General features: G+C 38.6%; 1 protein-coding gene across 123 annotated transcripts in view; it reads right to left on the bottom strand.

Moving 5' to 3' along the window:
* Positions 1-19,136, bottom strand: part of ABI2 (abl interactor 2) — a 103,776-nt gene that overhangs the window by 43,786 nt on the left and 40,854 nt on the right. For 57 of the 123 annotated variants that reach the window (NR_164705.1, NR_164715.1, NR_164708.1 and 54 more), the window contains one exon: positions 8,000-8,176. The exons of 7 other annotated variants lie outside the window; for them this stretch is intronic. Coding sequence is in view for 104 of the 116 variants with exons in the window: in NM_001375666.1 (NP_001362595.1) it covers positions 8,000-8,176 (177 nt within the window). In the remaining 12 variants the exon portion in view is untranslated. Of the gene's footprint in view, positions 1-5,062; positions 5,142-6,177; positions 6,196-7,999; positions 8,177-12,251; positions 12,453-19,136 lie in introns of all 123 variants that reach the window. 59 more of the 123 variants (NR_164713.1, NR_164712.1, NM_001375719.1 and 56 more) reach the window with 7 other exon arrangements.

Raw genomic sequence — 19,136 nt, 5'->3', positions numbered from 1 at the left:
AACTTGGTACATTTTATGATCTGTAGAATCATCAAATGACTGTATATTTGTTTGGTTAATGGGATTGGATGACTAACATAAGTCACTTAAGAAACAAGAGTCTCTGTAGAATGTCCAAACAATCTAATTTTATACCTAATATTTCATTACCTTTCTATTAAAAGAGTTTTTCAATATTTCCTCAAGGCAGCTTTTCCCGTGTGAAAAATGTTTCTACGCTAAGTAAAACAATAAATATGCTATGCAGAATATAAATACTGCCATCAAATTTGAAGAAAAGGAAGAACAGAAATAAATGCCAAACAAAACAATTTTTATAATAGGTAAAATCTATATTATAATTAAAGTTAAACTATATTTCAGAACTAAAATAATCTGGTAAATATAAAAATATATTTACTAGACAGCCATCATGATTGATCCTAAAAAAACTATTTTGAGGGAAGTATTTAAGAGAGAAAACATTTCCTGACAAGTAGCAAAACATGAGATCTCTATGTGCTGATGGAGAGGAACTTAACGACAGCGACAGAGAGAGAGACAGAACATATACCATAAACTCAAGACAAGGAAAACAAAGCAATACTGCAGCCACTTCATAATAGTAATTTCACTTGAAATACTTTTTAAAGTTACAAACATAGCAGAACTATCATCAGGCACACACAGCAGTTTAGGAAATTAGAACAATACTCTGGTGGCCGATACCAATCATAATTTTGTTATGTATTTTTTTATTCCATAAAATGAAAAGACCTCAAGAGCTAAGTGAAGCAGGTATTAGGTACAAGAAAGAAAAGTTGGAAAAGTCCCCACTTTTTCCCTACCAGACAGAAACCTCCAAAACAGAAGAAATATTTCATTTAGGTGATGAAGGTTAATGCATGGCCACAGCTCAAACACTTTCCCAATAGGCTATGATGAAGGAATGCAAATACCACCGGAGGTAGAAGCAGTTCCTTTATGACCAGGCTTTGGAGATCACTACAACTGGCACCACACATTAAGCCAATTATTGTGACTTAATACTTTTTCTACAATGCTCCTACCTATCCTGCTCTACCTTCTTTGGTACATTCAATACTTCCTTGAATACTGATATAATATTCATTACAAATATCATGCCTGGACAGCCAAGTATCTCTAATTCATAGAAGACATCACCTCTGCTATGAAATCTCCCATTAACAGATGACCTACTACCACAGAACAGTGGCAGACACATCCTAAAATGTTATGTGTGGTATACACCTTATATATTAATCTCCTACTAGACCCTCTAGGTACAAGAGTAAAGGCATGTGGGGAAAAAAAAAAAAAAAAAAAAGGAAGGGAGCCTGCGGGGAAAAAAAAGGAGACAAAACGGTCTATAGAATGATTTCTCTGCTTTAAAGGTATTCTGAAATAAATAAGACTCACATGCCTAAAATAAAAAGCAATGTCTGGCTGGGCATGGTGGCTCATGCCTGTAATCCCAGCACTCTGGGAGGCCAGGGTGGGCAGATCGCCTGAGGCCAGGAGTTCAGAGACCAGCCTGGCCAACATGGCAAAACCCTGTCTCTACTAAAAATACAAAAATTAGCCGGGCATGGTGGCAGATGCCTGTAATCCCAGCTGCTTGGAAGTCTGAGGAAGGGAGAATCACTTGAACCCAGGAGGCGGGGGTTGCAGTGAGCCATAGCGCCACTGCACTCCACCTTGGGTGACAGAGTGAGACTCCACGTGGAAAAAAAAAAAAAAAAAGCAATGTCTACAGATTCTATAGAAAAAAAAAGAAATATCAATGTGGGAAGGTTACGGAATGTTTCATAGAGAAAAACCTGAGCTGGTTTTTCTCTATGAAACTTCCCTAATAATTTCTTAAACTTGTTAAGTTTTAAAAGAACAGGATTCCAGACTGGGCAACACAGCAAGACCACGTCTCTCCAAAAAAAAAAAAAAAAAAAAAAAAAACAGCCAGGAGTGGCTGTAGTCCCGCTACTTGAGAGGCCGAGGCAGGAGGATCATTTGAGCCCAAGGATACAGTGAGCTATCATGCCACTGAACTCTGGCCTGAGCAACAGAGCAAGACCCCATCTCTTTAAAAAAAAGAAAAGAGAATTTAAACACACAAATAGAAGAGGGGAAGTGTGTGTAGGTTGTGTCTGTATGTGAAATAGTGAGGATGGGAAAAAAGTGAGGTCAGTCACCTTTGGGCCTTCATTCTCTGTCCAGTTTTGTTCCCCATTATAGTCCCATCTAGTACATAATTATTTGGCTTTCTAGAGACCTCTATCCCTCTCTTCAGAGGATGTATGTTCCTACTTCAATTCCTAAGGGACACCAGGAAAAGGACCAAAAGATCCTCTGAGGAAAATCAAAGCTGAAACCAGGAATTAGAGTATAAATTCAGGACAGAGGTTAAGATTTTTAGAAAAAGGGTTAAAAGACAAAAAAGCCTATCGAGTCAAGAGTCCAACAATAAAACACAGAGAATAAGGGAACATAAGATTAGGAGTAAGAGGAAAGAGAAACAGGTAAAGAAAGCAGAAGAAAACAAGAGAAATAAAGATGGACAAACTCCTGCTTGATTTTGAAAACAGATTCTAACAACTGGCTTTTGTCAAAACAGAATTGATGGCTTAAGGTTGGAACTTATAGGCAAAAACAGATGGGTCTCTCAAAGGTTGATGTTACTACAAAGGTTTTCCTCCAGGTGCTGTGTCGGATAAATTTTTAAGAGTGTACCTTCAACTGTACCTGAAAGCTAGAAATATAAGGGGAATTTATCATATTTCTGTAAGGAATGACAAATACTTGCTAAAAATAGTACTCAAGTGAAAACAGTCCATTTTTTAAACATGGGGCTAAATGATGGATCTTCAAGATCTTAAGCAAAATTTTTAAAAGTATTATATTCTTAATTTGCTGGCTGTAAAACTCTTAAGCCCTGCTCATTAATTATTAAGAATCTGGCCGGGCACGGTGGCTCACGCCTGTAATCCCAGCACTTTGGGAGGCCGAGGCGGGCAGATCACGAGATCAGGAGATCGAGACCATCCTGGCTAACACGGTGAAACCCCGTCTCTACTAAAAATACAAAAAATTAGCTGGGCGAGGTGGCGGGCGCCTGTAGTCCCAGCTACTCAGGAGGTTGAGGCAGGAGAATGGCGTGAAACCTGGGAGGTGGAGCCTGCAGTGAGCCAAGATGGCACCACTGCACTCCAGCCTGGGCAACGGCAAGACTGTCTCAAAAAAAAAAAAAGAATCTGAGCCGGGTGCGGTGGCTCACACCTGTAATCCCAACACTTTGGGAGGCCGAGGCGGGTGGATCACAAGGTCAGGAGTTTGAGACCAACCTGGCCAACATGGCGAAACCCTGTCTCTACTAAAAGTACACAAATTAGCCAGGCGTGGTGGCAGGCACCTGCAATCCCAGCTACTAGGGAGGCTGAGGCTGGAGAATCGCCTGAACCCGGGAGGCGGAGGTTGCAGTGAGCCAAGATCGTGCCACTGCACTCCAGCCTGGGTGACGGAGCAAGACTCGGTCTCAAAAAAAAGAAAAAAAGAAAAAAAAAAAAGAATCTGCTTGGGCGATGTTCAACTGAAATAATACATTAAAAGTCAGAAGTTTTTATTACTTTTGATTAAACTAATATGCTTATTTTAAAAATACTTAAGTTTAGCTTCATTAGTGACAATTTTAATGCATTCAACAGAAAAATTCATTACAAACACATCATACTGACCTCAGTAACAGGGTCTTAAAATTCTTTTTACTACTAAAAGAGTACTGGCCAGGCACGGTGGCTCACAACTGTAATCCCAACATTTTGGGAGGCCGAGGTGAGAGGATGGCTTGAGCACAGGAGTTCGAGACCAGCCAGGCCAACACAGTGAGACCCCATCTCTACAAAAAATTTGTTAAAAAATAGCCAGGCATGGTGGTGCACACATGTAGTACCAACTACTCAGGAAGCTGAGGCAGGAGAACCACTTGAGTCAGGGCAGTCAAAGCTGCAGTGAGTCATGATCACACCAGTGCACTCCAGCCTGGGTGACAGAGTGAGACCCTGTCTCAAAAAAAAAAAAAAAAAAAAAAAAAAAAAAAAAACAAAAACAAAAACAAGAGTATGGAACAGGAACCAGTTCAAGGTACATTCCACTTTTATATGGCCTTAGGTATATATGAAAACACCTCCAATATGGCATTCTATCCACTGACCTTGTACGTCCTTTGCTATAAAACTATTACCATAGTGTTTTTAAAAATCTTATGAACTCTTAAATTTGTAACTTGACTGAAGAAAAACAGTTAATCCAAATTTCAGATGTCAAGAACAATTAAGCATCAAACATGCTGTATAAAATAGTAAAAGTTAAACTTTTAAACAAGGAGGTCTCTTCTGAGTCAAATCCCACATGTCTGGTCCTAAAGTATGATGACTTTCTCTGGAGACTGTCTGAAAAGTATAAAAAGTATGACAGCAATGGGAGCAGCAAAGACAGAGCTCAAAAAGTGCTGAGAAAGAGAAAAAGAGAAGTAGAAAGAAAAACGACTAGGTCTTAAATAGGTTTTAAATTTTGAACATTTAATCAGCTACCCTGATTAAAATGAGGATAAGGAATCCATAATGCTATTGCTCATCAGGAGACTTCTAAGACACTTGCTAGAATCCACAGGTCTCCAAAAAGCTCAGGGATCTTATCTAAGTGTGATTCTTCATTAGATCTTTCTAGGAGACTCTGTTTGGCCTGTCTCTCACAATGGAAACAGATCCTGACGCAGGAACATCAAGAAGGAATCATACTGGGGCTTAGAGAAAACAAGCATGAGATAGTAGCTTGGGCAAGCTAGTCTAAACTTTAAGGGTAAAGAATCTGTGTGTTTCTGTATTTTTTCTTCAATTAAACTTTCCGTGTATTTCTATCACTTTGGAGGTTAACACATCAATGGTCAAAATTTGAATACAGACTTTAGGGTAAAAGGGCCAAAGCAGCCACAGTCTGCTTTTGGTCTAGTTCACTGCAACCCACCTATTTCAAGCAAAAGGATTTCTTCACAATTCCACATCTTACTCACCATGACTGAGGATTTGGAACCAACAATCCAATCAATAATACAGGTGTCCATATGCCTGGGCTCTTCCAATCAAATCTACCTACCACGGGCAGGGGAAAGTTGTGTGGCCTTAGTTAGTACTAGTTAATGATTCAGAGCTCAGTCATCTTGTCATCACTTTCTACACTAAAGATATGGCAAATAATGGGTATTAGATGGGAGGAATATATATTTGAAAATAAACTATAAAACTCACCTACAAAAAAAAATCAAAGAAGAAATGCATGCTAAGTTTTGTATATAATTGTAGTAACCTTGTATTTTAGGCAGGCTTCTTGAATATAGTTGAATTTCTTTTATCACGAATCCTCCACGATACCAAAACATTATTGAAACGAATTCTAACAGGAAATATCTCTAATTCTTAACTGATATTCTGTTAAACATTATCATGAGCTTTTGATGTTTTGCATATAATTATATTCACCTTTAAAAGCTCTTACAGTTTATATTGAAATATATTCTTTATACAGCTATTTGGAAAAAAGAATAATTTTTCTACAAAATATGATACTGCAACTTAAAAAAAAAACCCGTGTCACTGAATATTTTCTGCTTCTCAATTTCTTTATACTGATTAAAAGATAATGACATATTGTCCATAAGGTATATCAGAAAGCATACCATTTATAGAATAAAAAGGCTATTACACAGGGGGAGGGTTAAATAAAGTACATTAATTGGCCCTCCAATTCATAACAAAGTCTCTATATTTATAAAAATCCAGCTAATTATATTTCATAACATTTTTATGATAGGGTAGCTTACATTTCAGTTTCACAAAATATATTAACATTACAAAATAACCATTCATTCAACAAATATTTACTAAGCACCTAATGTGTGTCAGGTACTGTTCTAGGCACAAGGATAGAGCAGTGAACAAAACAGACAAAAATATCTGCCCTCAAGGAACATGAAGACACACCACAAAGTTGCATGACAAAAAATAAAACAAAAAGGAGGAATTATTTATTGGGTTTTAAAAGGCCAAGAGTTAACAATCTCTTTAACTCCCCATATGTAATATTCTACATAAGAACAAAGAATGGAAATCCAGCCCTGGAATCTCTTACCTTAAATCTAAGCAACCACTTAATGCATAAATGGAGCAAATAAAAGAGGTAAGGAAAAAAAGCATTGAAAGGTTAGTTGAAACTTCAGGATGTGAAGAGAAAGGAAAAAAAGAAAAAACAAGTTAAGCATTCAGCATTAACAAAATAATGTTTCAGTAGATCATAGAAAGAGTGGTTAAAGCAGAATGTGTCATGAACAGAAGTTTCTCTGATGAATTTAAGATACTGTTTTATTCCACAATTTAACTGTATTAAAGATTTCTTCAAATTAATGACCCTTAAACACTGAAAGTCAAAAAATGAAGGGGCTAGAATCCTGAAAGAAAAACATTTTACTTTGAGGATTATAAGAATGGGGGATGTAAACCTATGAATTATATATTTTAAAAAAATGGGATTACTTTTTTCTTATGTAATTGGGCAAACACAAATGTCATCTTTTATATTCTAAGTGTCTTTTTGGCATTAGATTCTAGAGGTATTCTAAAATATTCCATTAGCAGTTGTTAGCCTTGAATAAATTTTCCCAAGTTAGAAGAAATTTCAGTTATTAACTAACCATCCAATTACACATCTTATTTTAACATGCTCTTATTAGTAATCTAAATGCATGTAGGTATTGGCTATAAAATTAAATATTGGGCAGGCACGATGGCTTACACCTGTAATCCCAATATTTTGGGAGACCAAGGTGGGAAGATCACTTAAGTACAGGAGTTCATGACCACCCTGGGCAACACAGACAGGCCCTGTCACTACAAACAAAAAATTTAGCTCAGCATGGTGGCACGTGCCTGTAGTCCCAGGGAAGCTGACAAGGGAAGATCACCTGAGCCCAGGAGTACAAGGTTGGAGCGAGCTATGATTGTGCCACTGCACTCCAGCCTAGGTGACAGAGTGAGACCCTGTCTCAAAAAAGTTAAATTAAATATCATATTCCAGATAATAGTGCTTGCATCAAAACCCTGAAGACAAAGAGATTTTAAAAATAAATTTACAGTGTATATTTTCTTTTTACCTAGATCTCCATTAAATTTAGATTTAACTGATTTCCATCCATAACAGTGTTTTTTAAGTATGTTTATATTAGAAAAAAAATCAACTACATGAACTGTACAGTATCATTATAAGCATGTATATTTATTTAGTCACATCTGATAAGTCACTGTCTTTCAAACTACTGATCAGACATAAATTAATACTCAGCTAAAGCTCTGAATCATTAAGTTCAAACACCAATTTAAATGAAATTTGCATGTTCTAGGCACCCAAATACATCTTAAAAGACAGCCAAAATATGTAATAGCTACACACTCAAAAGCAGTGGCAATATTAATTCACCTATCACTTTTACCTAACACTATTCTTGCCCAAAATGTTGGGATAAAATTATTTTAGAAAAATTCAAAGTACATGTCTATTAATATATCTTGTTTTTGAAAACTAATGCCAAAAGTCTGCTGATAAATACTTGAGATAAGGTAAACACTTTCATAATAACATGATGAATGATTTTTTAATCAGTCATATTAAATTAAAATTGGAAAGATTACACGACACTTATTTACTCAAACCATAGGAGGTATTATCATAACCAAGCAAATATAATTCATTCAAAGATGACTGTTTAAAACTTGAGAATACATCACTAAGAAAAAGCAAAAAGGGTAAAACAGTTATAGTAGCAAGGAATCTTCACAACCACAACTGGGCCAAGACTTTGTCCTCTAGGAAAGAAAGACAGATAAAAAGCTTAATTTTCTCAAGAGTTGGTTTCATTATGGGTTACTACTTTTAAAAGCTTGAAAAAAATTATACCTACCTTTACTCCATGTCCAATATCATCTAGAATTGTATAGTCAATAGGTTTTCTAATATAACGAACTGGTCGTTCAAGGTTGGCTGGAGCAATAATCTTATGTGTCCTTGAAGTGTTTTTATTGGTAGTCAAAATACCAATTTCTCTTCTTGCAACTTTCTCTTTATGAATATCAACTGTCTGCAAAATATAATGTAAAAAACAACACAAAAATGTATAGTTCTAATATCCACAAAAATCAAAATATATATGCCTAGAGATTTAATATTGCTACTCATATTCTAAACTATGCTTGCTAAATTTTTATTCTTCTGGACTACTGATTTTCTCCATTTTTAGGTTAAAGCAAGGGCTGGTAAACCATGGCCCACAGGCCAAATCTGGCCCATCATCTGATTTTTACAGCCCACAAGCTAAGAGTGGTGTTTACATTTTTTAATGTTTGGAGAAAAGAACAACCAAAAAAAACCTTCACGTGAAAATTATATAAAATTCAAATTTGCTTTTCCATAAGTAAAGTTTTATTGGAATACAGCCATGCCGCTCACTTGCTTATCTGTCTAGGCTTTACACTGTAATGGCAGAGATGAGCCACAACAGAGATGGTATGGCCCACAAAAACTGAAGTATATATTAGCTGGCTCCTTTACAGAAAAGGTTTGCCAACCCCTGGGTTAAAGCATGCTAATTTTTCCCTCTCCATTAAGATTTAGACTAATATAGTGATTAAGAAAGCCCCCGAAATTAATCTAGTTACATTTCTAATGACCTATTAGTATAATTTCTATTCATGTTTAAACATCTTTTTATTTAAAAAGAAAGAGGGCTGAAATATAATGTTAAAAATAAAGCCAGGCACAGTGGCTCAGGCCCGTAATCCAAGCACTTTGGGAGGCCAAGGTGGGCAGATTGCTTGATCCCAGGAGTTCATGACCAGCCTGGGCAACATGGCGAAACCCCGTCTCTACAAAAAGTAGCTGGGTATGACAGCACATGCCTGTAATCCCAGCTAACTGAGAGGCTGAAATAAGAGAACTGCTTGAGTCCAGGAGGTCAAAGCTGCAGTGAGCCATGAATGCACCACTGCACTCTAGCCTGGGTGACAGAGCAAGACCCTGTGTCAAAAAACAAAAAAGCCATTTTTTGACCCCAAAAGACCAAGTTGCTTGGGCAAAGCTGCTTATATTTTATCATGACAAAATGCCTGTAAAATATTTCATTAATTTATTTATATTTATTAAATGCTCACATAAGACATACGAGTAAGAATGTATTGTAATTACAATCTTCTATTTGCTAACAGAGGGTGAATTTCTCCACATACACAGGTAATTAGTACACTAAAGCAAAATTTTTTAAACTGCAAGCTGCAATTTAGTGGTATGTAAGCAGCAATTATTTCAAATCAAATAGAACAGAAACATCAGACTGCATGTACACATAGTAAGGTAAAATACTGTTTCTTGAAAAGTCTGTTTATTATATATATAAATATATACATGAATTATGTGCTGAATACAACGTAAAAAAAATTTTTTCCTGTGTGTCGCAGTCAAAAGAGTTTGAAAAATCACTTCACTAAAATGGTTCACATCTCTTACCACCAATTCCTGGCTCAAGCAGCAATCAACAGACACATTTTTTGCTAACTCCTCCCCAGTCCCACTTCAATGTCCTACTTCAATTTCCCCTTTCTAAAAGAACCTGGTAGTAACAGTGAAAAGATAATCATCATGACATTATAAAATACTGCTTTAAGAAATCTGAACACTGATCATTTATCCTTCTAAACTGCCTCAAGTATGAGGTAAGCCTGAAACAAATTCAAAGCCTCTTATTTCTCTACAACCAAGAGACCTTAAAAACAACAGGATCTATATGTTCCAGAGCTAACGAATGTATAAATGGAACATCAAATAAAAAACTAACCATGGTAGTAATCTTACAATTTTAAGTATTCAAGAAAAAAACAATCTCAGCCAGGCATGGTGGCTCACGCCTATAATCCCAGCACTTTGGGAGGCCAAGGTGGGCGGATCACAAAGTCCGGAGATCGAGACCATCCTGGCTAACACGGTGAAACCCCGTCTCTACTAAAAATACAAAAATTAGCCGGGCATGGTGGCGGGTGCCTGTAGTCCCAGCTACTTGGGGGGCTGAGGCAGGAGAATGGCGTGAACCCAGGAGGCAGAGCTTGCAATGAGCCGAGATTGTGCCACTGCACTCCAGCCTGGGCAACAGAGCGAGACTCCATCTTAAAAAAAAAAAAGAAAAGAAAAGAAAAAGAAAAAGAAAAAAAATAATCTCTAAACTTTTCTACGCATGTTAGGCTAATTATGAGAATAGCTTTCCTCTTCAACTGCTTGGGAAAACTGTAACAGAAAAGTTAAGCTTGCATATTAGTGATGATATTGGAATTCACTTAATTTTTAACTTTAGAGAAATGGAAATTAATCACATTTGGATTAAATTTTATTTTTATGAGACAGTATCTCACTCTGTCGCCCAGGCTGGAGTGGACTGGCCCGATCATGGCTCACTGCATCCTCGACCTCTCAGGCTGAAATGATTCTCCCGCCTGAGCTTCCTAAGGAGCTGGGACTACAGGCGTGTTCCACCATGCTGGCCTAATTTCTCTACTGTCTGTAGAGTTGGGGTTTTTCCATGTTGCCCAGGCAGGTCTTGAACTCCTAAGCTCAAGTGATCCACCCACCTTGGCCTCCCAAAGTGCTGGGATTACAGGAGTAAGCCAATGTACTGGCCTTGAATAAAGTTTAGTGAGTCATTCTAAATCATTAAAAGTATGGGCTAGAAATACCATTTCATACCATCAAGTATGCTTCAAAAAATAAAATATGACACTTTTTTTATAAAATGGGTCTTCGTCAGATCAATAAAAGGTTCATCAGATAACACAATCCTCAAGACATTGTTTTTATTCTCCTCAGTTTTTAGAAATGTACTTAACTTATTCAGAAATGAAACTATAAGAGTGTAAACCTGAGCAGCCATAACAGAATTACAAGCTTATAGCTTCTATTTCACATCTGCATACTATAAATATACATTTTTTTGCAACAGGTTCTCACTCTGTCACAGAGGCTGGAGTGCAATGGGACAATCATAGCATACTGTAGTCTTGAACTCCTAGGCTCAAGCATCCTCTTACCTCAGCCTCCTGAGTAGCTAGGACTACAGGCATGTACCACCATGCCCAGCTAATTTTATTTTTTGTAGAGATGGGATGTCACTGTGTTGCCCAGGATGGTCTTGAACTCCTGACCTCAAACAATGCTCCTGCCTCAGTCTCCCAAAGTGCTGGGATTATAGGCATGAGCCACTATGCCTGGCACATACTAGAAATATTAATAAATCTCCAGAGAATGAACAGGGAGAAGTAATCTTCCACTTATTATTTACACTAACACACAGTAATATTTTATAACAAGCACATATTTCTTGTTTGAAAAATTGAGACTTTAAAAAAGCATTAAAATATAAATTAGAAATCTGTTCATTTGATCTTATAGAGATGTGACTTGGTCTAGGGATTGGGGACATTTACATATTACCCACATGTTCTCTTCATATACACACAAACACACACTTAGCCCAAACCCATAGACCATAACAGTAAAAAAAAAAAAAAAAAAAGGGAAGACCAATACAGTAAATAGAAAGATAACAATAAGCCTAAAATAAAGGGTCATTGTTATAATAGAGCAAAAAAATTGGCACTAAGCCTCCAGGGAGAGAAGGCAAAATAGAAACATAATGAGTTACGAGGAAATATATCAATTCATCAGGAAAGTGAAATGTTTCCCAGGATTAAATTCTTTAAAAATATATTTGTTGTTGCTTTTTATATCAAATCTCAGTAAAAACTGAAGGCATGTTTTTTAAACAGCATAAGTATACAGAAAGTCAAAATAATTTAGTTTGGCTATATGATGTTTTTAATTGTCTACTTCAAAGAATGCCTACATCTTAGAAACACTAGGGGCAGGGTAACTCAACAGTGGCACTATTGACATTTTGGGCTTGATAATTCTTTGTTGTGGGCAGGGGTGAAGGCTGCTGTCTTGAGGATTGCAGAATATAGAAAAGCATCCAGGTAGATAACTGTAGCACTCCCCCACCATGAGATGTGACAACCAAAAATGTCTAACATTGCCAAATGTCCCCTTGGGGGCAAAACTTCCCTGGTTGAGAACCAAAGATCTATAGAGGAAGGACTAATTAGCTGGTCCCTTACCTCATTCAATCTCAAACTGCAATTGTTTCCAAATTTGGTCACAAAAGTCGACTCAAGATCAACGCCTCTAATTTGCCTAAGTATAGATATTTTAAGTAAATAACTTTTAAAAAACATCTATAATAATAAAGGTAATCTAACAACGGTATAATTTGCATTCTTGCCATCATACTACCACACGGGGTTGAACTGCAGTATTGCCTGTGGGCAGAAGAAAACATGCCTTTAGAAAATGGCTACGGTTCTATTTGGAGTTTGAATAATTTGACAGAGAGCACTAAATCTATTTCATAAACAAGCAGAAGATTCTCAGGTTGGTCCAGAAGATTCTAAGGTTTTCAGCAATCATCTGCTTCAATTTTTTTATAGCTTTCACTTGTAGAAAATAAGCATATTCAAATTAGATAGAATAATAAACACTCCCTCCTCACATCTATCATGCAGCTTTAACATTCATAAATTCGTAGACAATTGTCAGTTGTAAAAGAAATTTAGGAAAGCTCCTGTAACATATTCTTAAATAAAATATGGCTACTATATTTTTCCTACATCAAATTCACAGTATCAGTAATTATGGCATTTGCCCTCATGATATTCTTTGACATTACAATGTTAAATTTCATTAAGTTAAATTTTGGAAGTACAAGTTCAACACTGATATTTAGGATGAATTTTAAAAGTAAGAAAAGTATTTCAAATTTATTCTGGGTTTTTTAAGTTACTAGTTATATGACAATAAACCTACTTATTTAGAAGAGACCTCAATAACAGCACTCACCTGTGGCAAGTAAAAAATGTGTTCTGCTAGCAATCAAAGATGACCAAAACTAATTCAAATACACAATTAATATAATTATTGTTTGCTACAGATCCCATTAACCAAAAAACACACCAAGATATATCACTGCAATTGTATAGGACTTAATAAACAACTATTCTCCCACAGTTCCTTATTAATTAGCTTCCCCATCCTTCTCACTGATATTGCCAAGCTGATCTTGCATGCTGCAGGCTTTCCCCATGACACTTCAGCCACACAGTGCCAAACCCAGGTTCCTTAAGGATACCTCTTATGGCCTTGAGATAATCATACTGACTCCCAGCTCCTTTGCAAGCCTGAGCCCCACTCCCACATCTCCCTCATGAACCCAAGCACATGCTCAGGCCACAGCAGATGACAGGAAGGTACTGTATAAAATATTTTGTTTTAGGATTATCCATGCATTGTCATTTCCCATTACCACAGATAATTGAAAGTTGACTGTACTGGATAGCACTACCTCAGTTAGCTGCCCATCAGTGTGGGAAAACATCTGCAATCAAACAGTTACAGTGGATTAACCCAACTAAATTGGGTGTTTTTAAATATGTCTCAATTTTTTTTATTAGTAAGCTAATGTTTCAAATAAACATTTAAATTACAATTATGCTTCAAATTATGTATCATTCATAAAACAAATTAGTTACTAACAGAGTAATTTTCAGTTTTTTTATATAAAGTGATATAAAAACTACATAGGAAATTAATTGGGAAGTATAAAAAGTCTACTTTCTATGCATAATTACGTATTGATAACCTTCAGTGTATCTCCTTAATTAAAATTGGAAATTCCTTTTTTTTTTTTTTTTTTTTTGAGACAGAGTCTCGCTTTGCCACCCAGGCTGGAATGCAGTGGCACGATCTCAGCTCACTGCAACCTCCGCTCCCAGGTTCAAGCAATTCTCCTACCTCAGCCTCCAGAGTAGCTGGGATTACAGGTGCCCACTACCACACCCAGCTAATTTTTGTATTTTTAGTAGCGACAGGGTTTCACTATGTTGGCCAGGCTGGTCTCAAACTCCTGACCTCAGGTGATCCGGCCACCCTTAGCCTCTCAAAGTGCTGGGATTACAGGCGTGAGCCACGGAGCCTGGCCAAAATTAGAAATTCTTAAGCAAGGCTATCTATATAAAGTTTTTGTGTTTTGGGTTGTTGAGACAGTGTCTCACTCTGTTGCCCATGCTTGAATCCAGTGGCATGAACATGGCTCACTGCAGCCTCGACCACCTGGGCTCAAGTGATACTCCCGCCTCAGCCTCCTGAGTAGCTGGGACTACAAGTGTGCACCACCACACCTGGCTAATTTTTGCATTTTTTGGAGAGATGGAATTTTGCCATGTTGGCTAGGCTGGTCTCAAACTCCTGACCTCAAGGGATCCGCCTGCCTCAGCCTCCCAAAGTGCTGGGACTACAGGCATGAGCCACCACACCCAGCCTAAAGTTTTTAGACAGTAAAAGCTACCCTACTTGTTGAGTTCTTAAGGCCACTGCCTTTCAATACCTAGCTCTTGAGAAGAATTACTTCCAATTTTATATTATTTTATGATAATTATTTTCCAGCTCCTTTAATTGTTACCTGCTAACTAATTTAACACCTGGCCCAGTAAGTCCTACTCAGCCCTTGGGAAGGTGGGAAGAGCACTACTTTCTTAAGTTCTTTATGTTGCCTTTTGACCTTGCTTAATCTTTTTTTCTAAGCCATGACAAACTTGAACATGGATAAGTACTGACTAATTTTACTAGCAAAGAAAAAAGATGGGCCTCGCTTAGAAAAATTTTAGTTTAGTCTCCCTCTCCCTCTCCCGCTCCCTCTCCCTCTCCCTCTCCCCACGGCCCATGGTCTCCCTCTCCCTCTCTTTCCACGGTCTCCCTCTGATGCCGAGCAGAAGCTGGACTGTACTGCTGCCATCTTGGCTCACTGCAACCTCCCTGCCTGATTCTCCTGCCTCAGCCTGCCGAGTGCCTGCGATTACAGGCGCGCGCCGCCACGCCTGACTGGTTTTCGTACTTTTTTGGTGGAGACGGGGTTTCGCTGTGTTGGCCGGGCTGGTCTCCAGCTCCTAACCGCGAGTGATCCGCCAGCCTCGGCCTCCCGAGGTGCCGGGATTGCAGACAGAGTCTGGTTCACTCAGTGCTCAATGGTGCCCAGGCTGGAGTGCAGTGGCGTGATCTCGGCTCGCTACAACCTCCACCTCCCAGCCGCCTGCCTTGGCCTCCCAAAGTGCCGAGATTGCAGCCTCTGCCCGGCCGCCACCCCATCTGGGAAGTGAGGAGCGTCTCTGCGTGGCTGCCCATCGTCTGGGACGTGAGGAGCCCCTCTGCCTGGCTGCCCAGTCTGGAAAGTGAGGAGCGCCTCTTCCTGGCCGCCATCCCGTCTAGGAAGTGAGGAGCGTCTCTGCCCAGCCGCCCATCGCCTGAGATGTGGGGAGCGCCTCTGCCCCGCCGCCCCGTCTGGGATATGAGGGCGCCCAGCCGCGACCCCGTCTGGGAGGTGAGGAGCGTCTCTGCCCGGCCGCCCCATCTGAGAAGTGAGGAGACCCTCCGCCTGGCAACCGCCCCGTCTGAGAAGTGAGGAGCCCCTCCGCCCGGCAGCCGCCCCGTCTGAGAAGTGAGGAGCCCCTACGCCCGGCAGCCACCCCGTCTGGGAAGTGAGGAGCCCCTCTGCCCGGCCAGCTGCCCCGTCTGGGAGGGAGGTGGGGGAGTCAGTCCCCCGCCCAGCCACCCGCCCCGTCCGGGAGGGAGGTGGGGGGGTCAGCCCCCCGCCCGGCCAGCCGCCCCGTCTGGGAGATGAGGGGCGCCTCTGCCCGGCCGCCCCTACTGGGATGTGAGGAGCCCCTCTGCCCGGCCACCACCCCGTCTGGGAGGTGTACCCAACAGCTCATTGAGAACGGGCCGGGATGACAATGGCGGTTTTGTGGAATAGAAAGGGGGGAAAGGTGGGGAAAAGATTGGGAAATCGGATGGTTGCCGTGTCTGTGTAGAAAGAAGTAGACATGGGAGACTTTTCATTTTGTTCTGTACCAAGAAAAATTCTTCTGCCTTGGGATCCTGTTGATCGGTGACCTTAGCCCCAACCCTGTGCTCTCTGAAACATGTGCTGTGTCCACTCAGGGTTAAATGGATTAAGGGCGGTGCAAGATGTGCTTTGTTAAACAGATGCTTGAAGGCAGCATGCTCGTTAAGAGTCATCACCACTCCCTAATCTCAAGTACCCAGGGACACAAACACTGCGGAAGGCCGCAGGGTCCTCTGCCTAGGAAAACCAGAGACCTTTGTTCACTTGTTTATCTGCTGACCTTCCCTCCACTATTATCCTATGACCCTGCCAACTCCCCCTCTGCGAGAAACACCCAAGAATGATCAATTAAAAATAAATAAATAAATAAAATAAAAATAAAAAGAAAAAAGAAAAATTTTAGTTTACAAACTGATAAGAGTTTTAGTTTGAAAAGTGTTTTGCAAACTTTTTATTAAAAAAAACTTACCAGAAAAGGACACAAAATAATGGGCACAGTAAGCAACATTCATCCTTATAATAATGTTACACTATACTGACTTAAAGGTATGTGTACCTGTACAAGTATTCAGTAAAATTACATGTTTGCTCTGATAAGTATATATTTAGGGGAAATATTTAATGTTAATTTAACTCCACTATCAGTTTGAAGATAAAAATTTTCATTTGTTTTAATAATATCCTTCCAAAGAATGAATAGGATAACAGCAACAAAGCTAGAGATGAAATTTCTTTAAAATTTACCAGCCCTAAAATACATAACATAATCCATGTTAAGAACCAACCCTAATACTGCCTTATAGATATGATGAATGTAGTAAAAATTAGTATACTACTTAATACTATATTGTCCTTTTAATACAAAAAAGTGTCTGATACTATATATTCCTAATCAATTAATATCTTGTTTTTGAAAACATTTGACATTTAGAAAGAGTGGGTTATTACTTTGTTTTGTTGAAGTATTTCTCCCCGATACAGAGTACAGTCAATGGAATTCCCATCCTCGGATTACAATTCAGAGTAATTTGGGAAACAGTTCAGTTACATTAAAGTAATAGAGGGTTGAGACCAGTGGACACAGATTGAGGTAAAGAGCAGAACCAACAGAACAGAATGGAAGCAAATAAAATCAAGCTCATTTGTGAGAATCGCAAAAATAAGGAATTCAAGATGGAAAACATTTAAGAAATTATCTAAACAGTCCTACCTTACAGATGAAAAAACCTAAGTTCAAAGAAGTCAAATGTCACACAAGTCAGCAGAAGAGTCAGGGTAAAGCCTAGATGCCCTGATCTTTTTCAGGCCAACTCAGCGTTCTTTTTCGTTAAAATAGATGAAAGGGCTAGGAGGCTGAAAGGTGGTAAAGTTCTTACCCAGGCAATAGAGAAAAGAATACTAATGGGAAAAGAAACTCAATACCCTAGATAACTAGTATCTACTAGTCCTAAACAACTCTACCCTTACAACTCTTGAGGCTTATTGCCATTCCAATAAATGTGTGATCTTGTCTTTGACCTGACTGAACCCTCCATTCCTTCAACTCAATCTTCTCTACAAACTCTCGGAATCTAGTATTTTTGCCCAAGTTGCACAAAAATCTGGTCTCAAGAACCCCCTGGTTCCCTCTAGAAACACACAATATTTTAAATAATAATACAAGCATCATAATAAAATTTAACACTCAAACATTTGGAAAAAGTATTTTAGAGCAGGGGCTGGCAAACTAAGGCTCCATGCCAGAATGTGGCCCGCTGCCTGCTTTTATATGGCCCAGAAGCTAAGAATAGTTTTAACATTTTTAAATCATTGTTTAAAAATACACACACAAAAAAGAAAAGAAAACGTAATTAAACTGTCTCTCAAATCTGTCCACATCTCTATCCTTACATGCAATGTCATCTCTCTTTGCTGGGCATGGTGGCTCATGCCTGTAATCCCAGCACTTTGGGAGGCTGAGGTGGGAGGATCACTTGAGACCAGGAGTTCAAGACCACCCTGGGCAACATCATGAGACCCCATCCCCCAACCAAAAAAAAAAAAGTACACACACACACATACACACAGAAAGAGAGAGAGAGAGAGAGAGAGAGAGAGAGAGAGAGAGAGAATAGGAGAATGACACCATACGTAGCCCACAAAACCTAAAATAGTTATCAACACATGGCCCACAAAACCTAAAATAGTTACCATCTGGCCTTTTATTTAAGAAAAGTTTGCCAACCCCTATTTTAGAGTATTTACTATTTGTTTTGTAAGCAGAAAATGTTTTCTTCTACACTAGAGAATAATATTCCAGTCTGAAGAATATCAAATAGTTTTGATATTCAACTGACTTTTTAAATAAAGAATTCTACCTGTAAACACAAGTAAAAAAAAAAAATTTCAATCCTTGAGGCAAATGCTAGAAAATACATAAATTTTTAAAATTACTCTTATTTCTTAAATATAGCCTCTATCAGCCTATTTCTCAGACTTGATCCTTTATCCAACATAATAATTTATATTCTGTATAAACTTAACAGCCACTGAGAATTGCAGATCTATTACCCCTCCAACTATTGCCCTCTAGACACTCAACTCTGAAAAAAGAAGGTTCGACGTATTCCTGACAGCTTTGACTGAGGCCTCTGTAATTTCCAGTTTATTAATCTCTATCCATTCTTCTGTTTTTTACTTAATCCATTAAGATAGCTTTAAAAGACAGCATTAATTGACCACATTAATTAAACGCCAATTTATATGATACTCCTAAAGAAAATGTTCTGAATAACTGAATTAATACATATACTCAAAATCTAGGGTGGCTGAGTATTCACCTTCCTCCTTGAGCTTGCTAACACTTTTCTACCAAAGTACTACAAAATTCTAAACAGAAAATAAATTATTATCCTTCATTGCTATTTGCTTGTTGTCATCATTTACCCACATAATCTCTCCTACTCTCCCCTAATGCCTAGTAAAACTTGTTCCTCCTTTTTAGGAACTCAAATATACTAGTTTCTCTTCTATATTTGTTCTTTTTTTTAACGTTTCTTTTTAACATCCT

The sequence above is a fragment of the Homo sapiens genome, chromosome 2 (genome assembly GCF_000001405.40).
Source record: "Homo sapiens chromosome 2, GRCh38.p14 Primary Assembly".
Classification (NCBI taxonomy): domain Eukaryota; kingdom Metazoa; phylum Chordata; class Mammalia; order Primates; family Hominidae; genus Homo; species Homo sapiens.
Note: the sequence above shows the minus strand (reverse complement) of the source record. Positions and strands in the feature narration are given on the sequence as shown.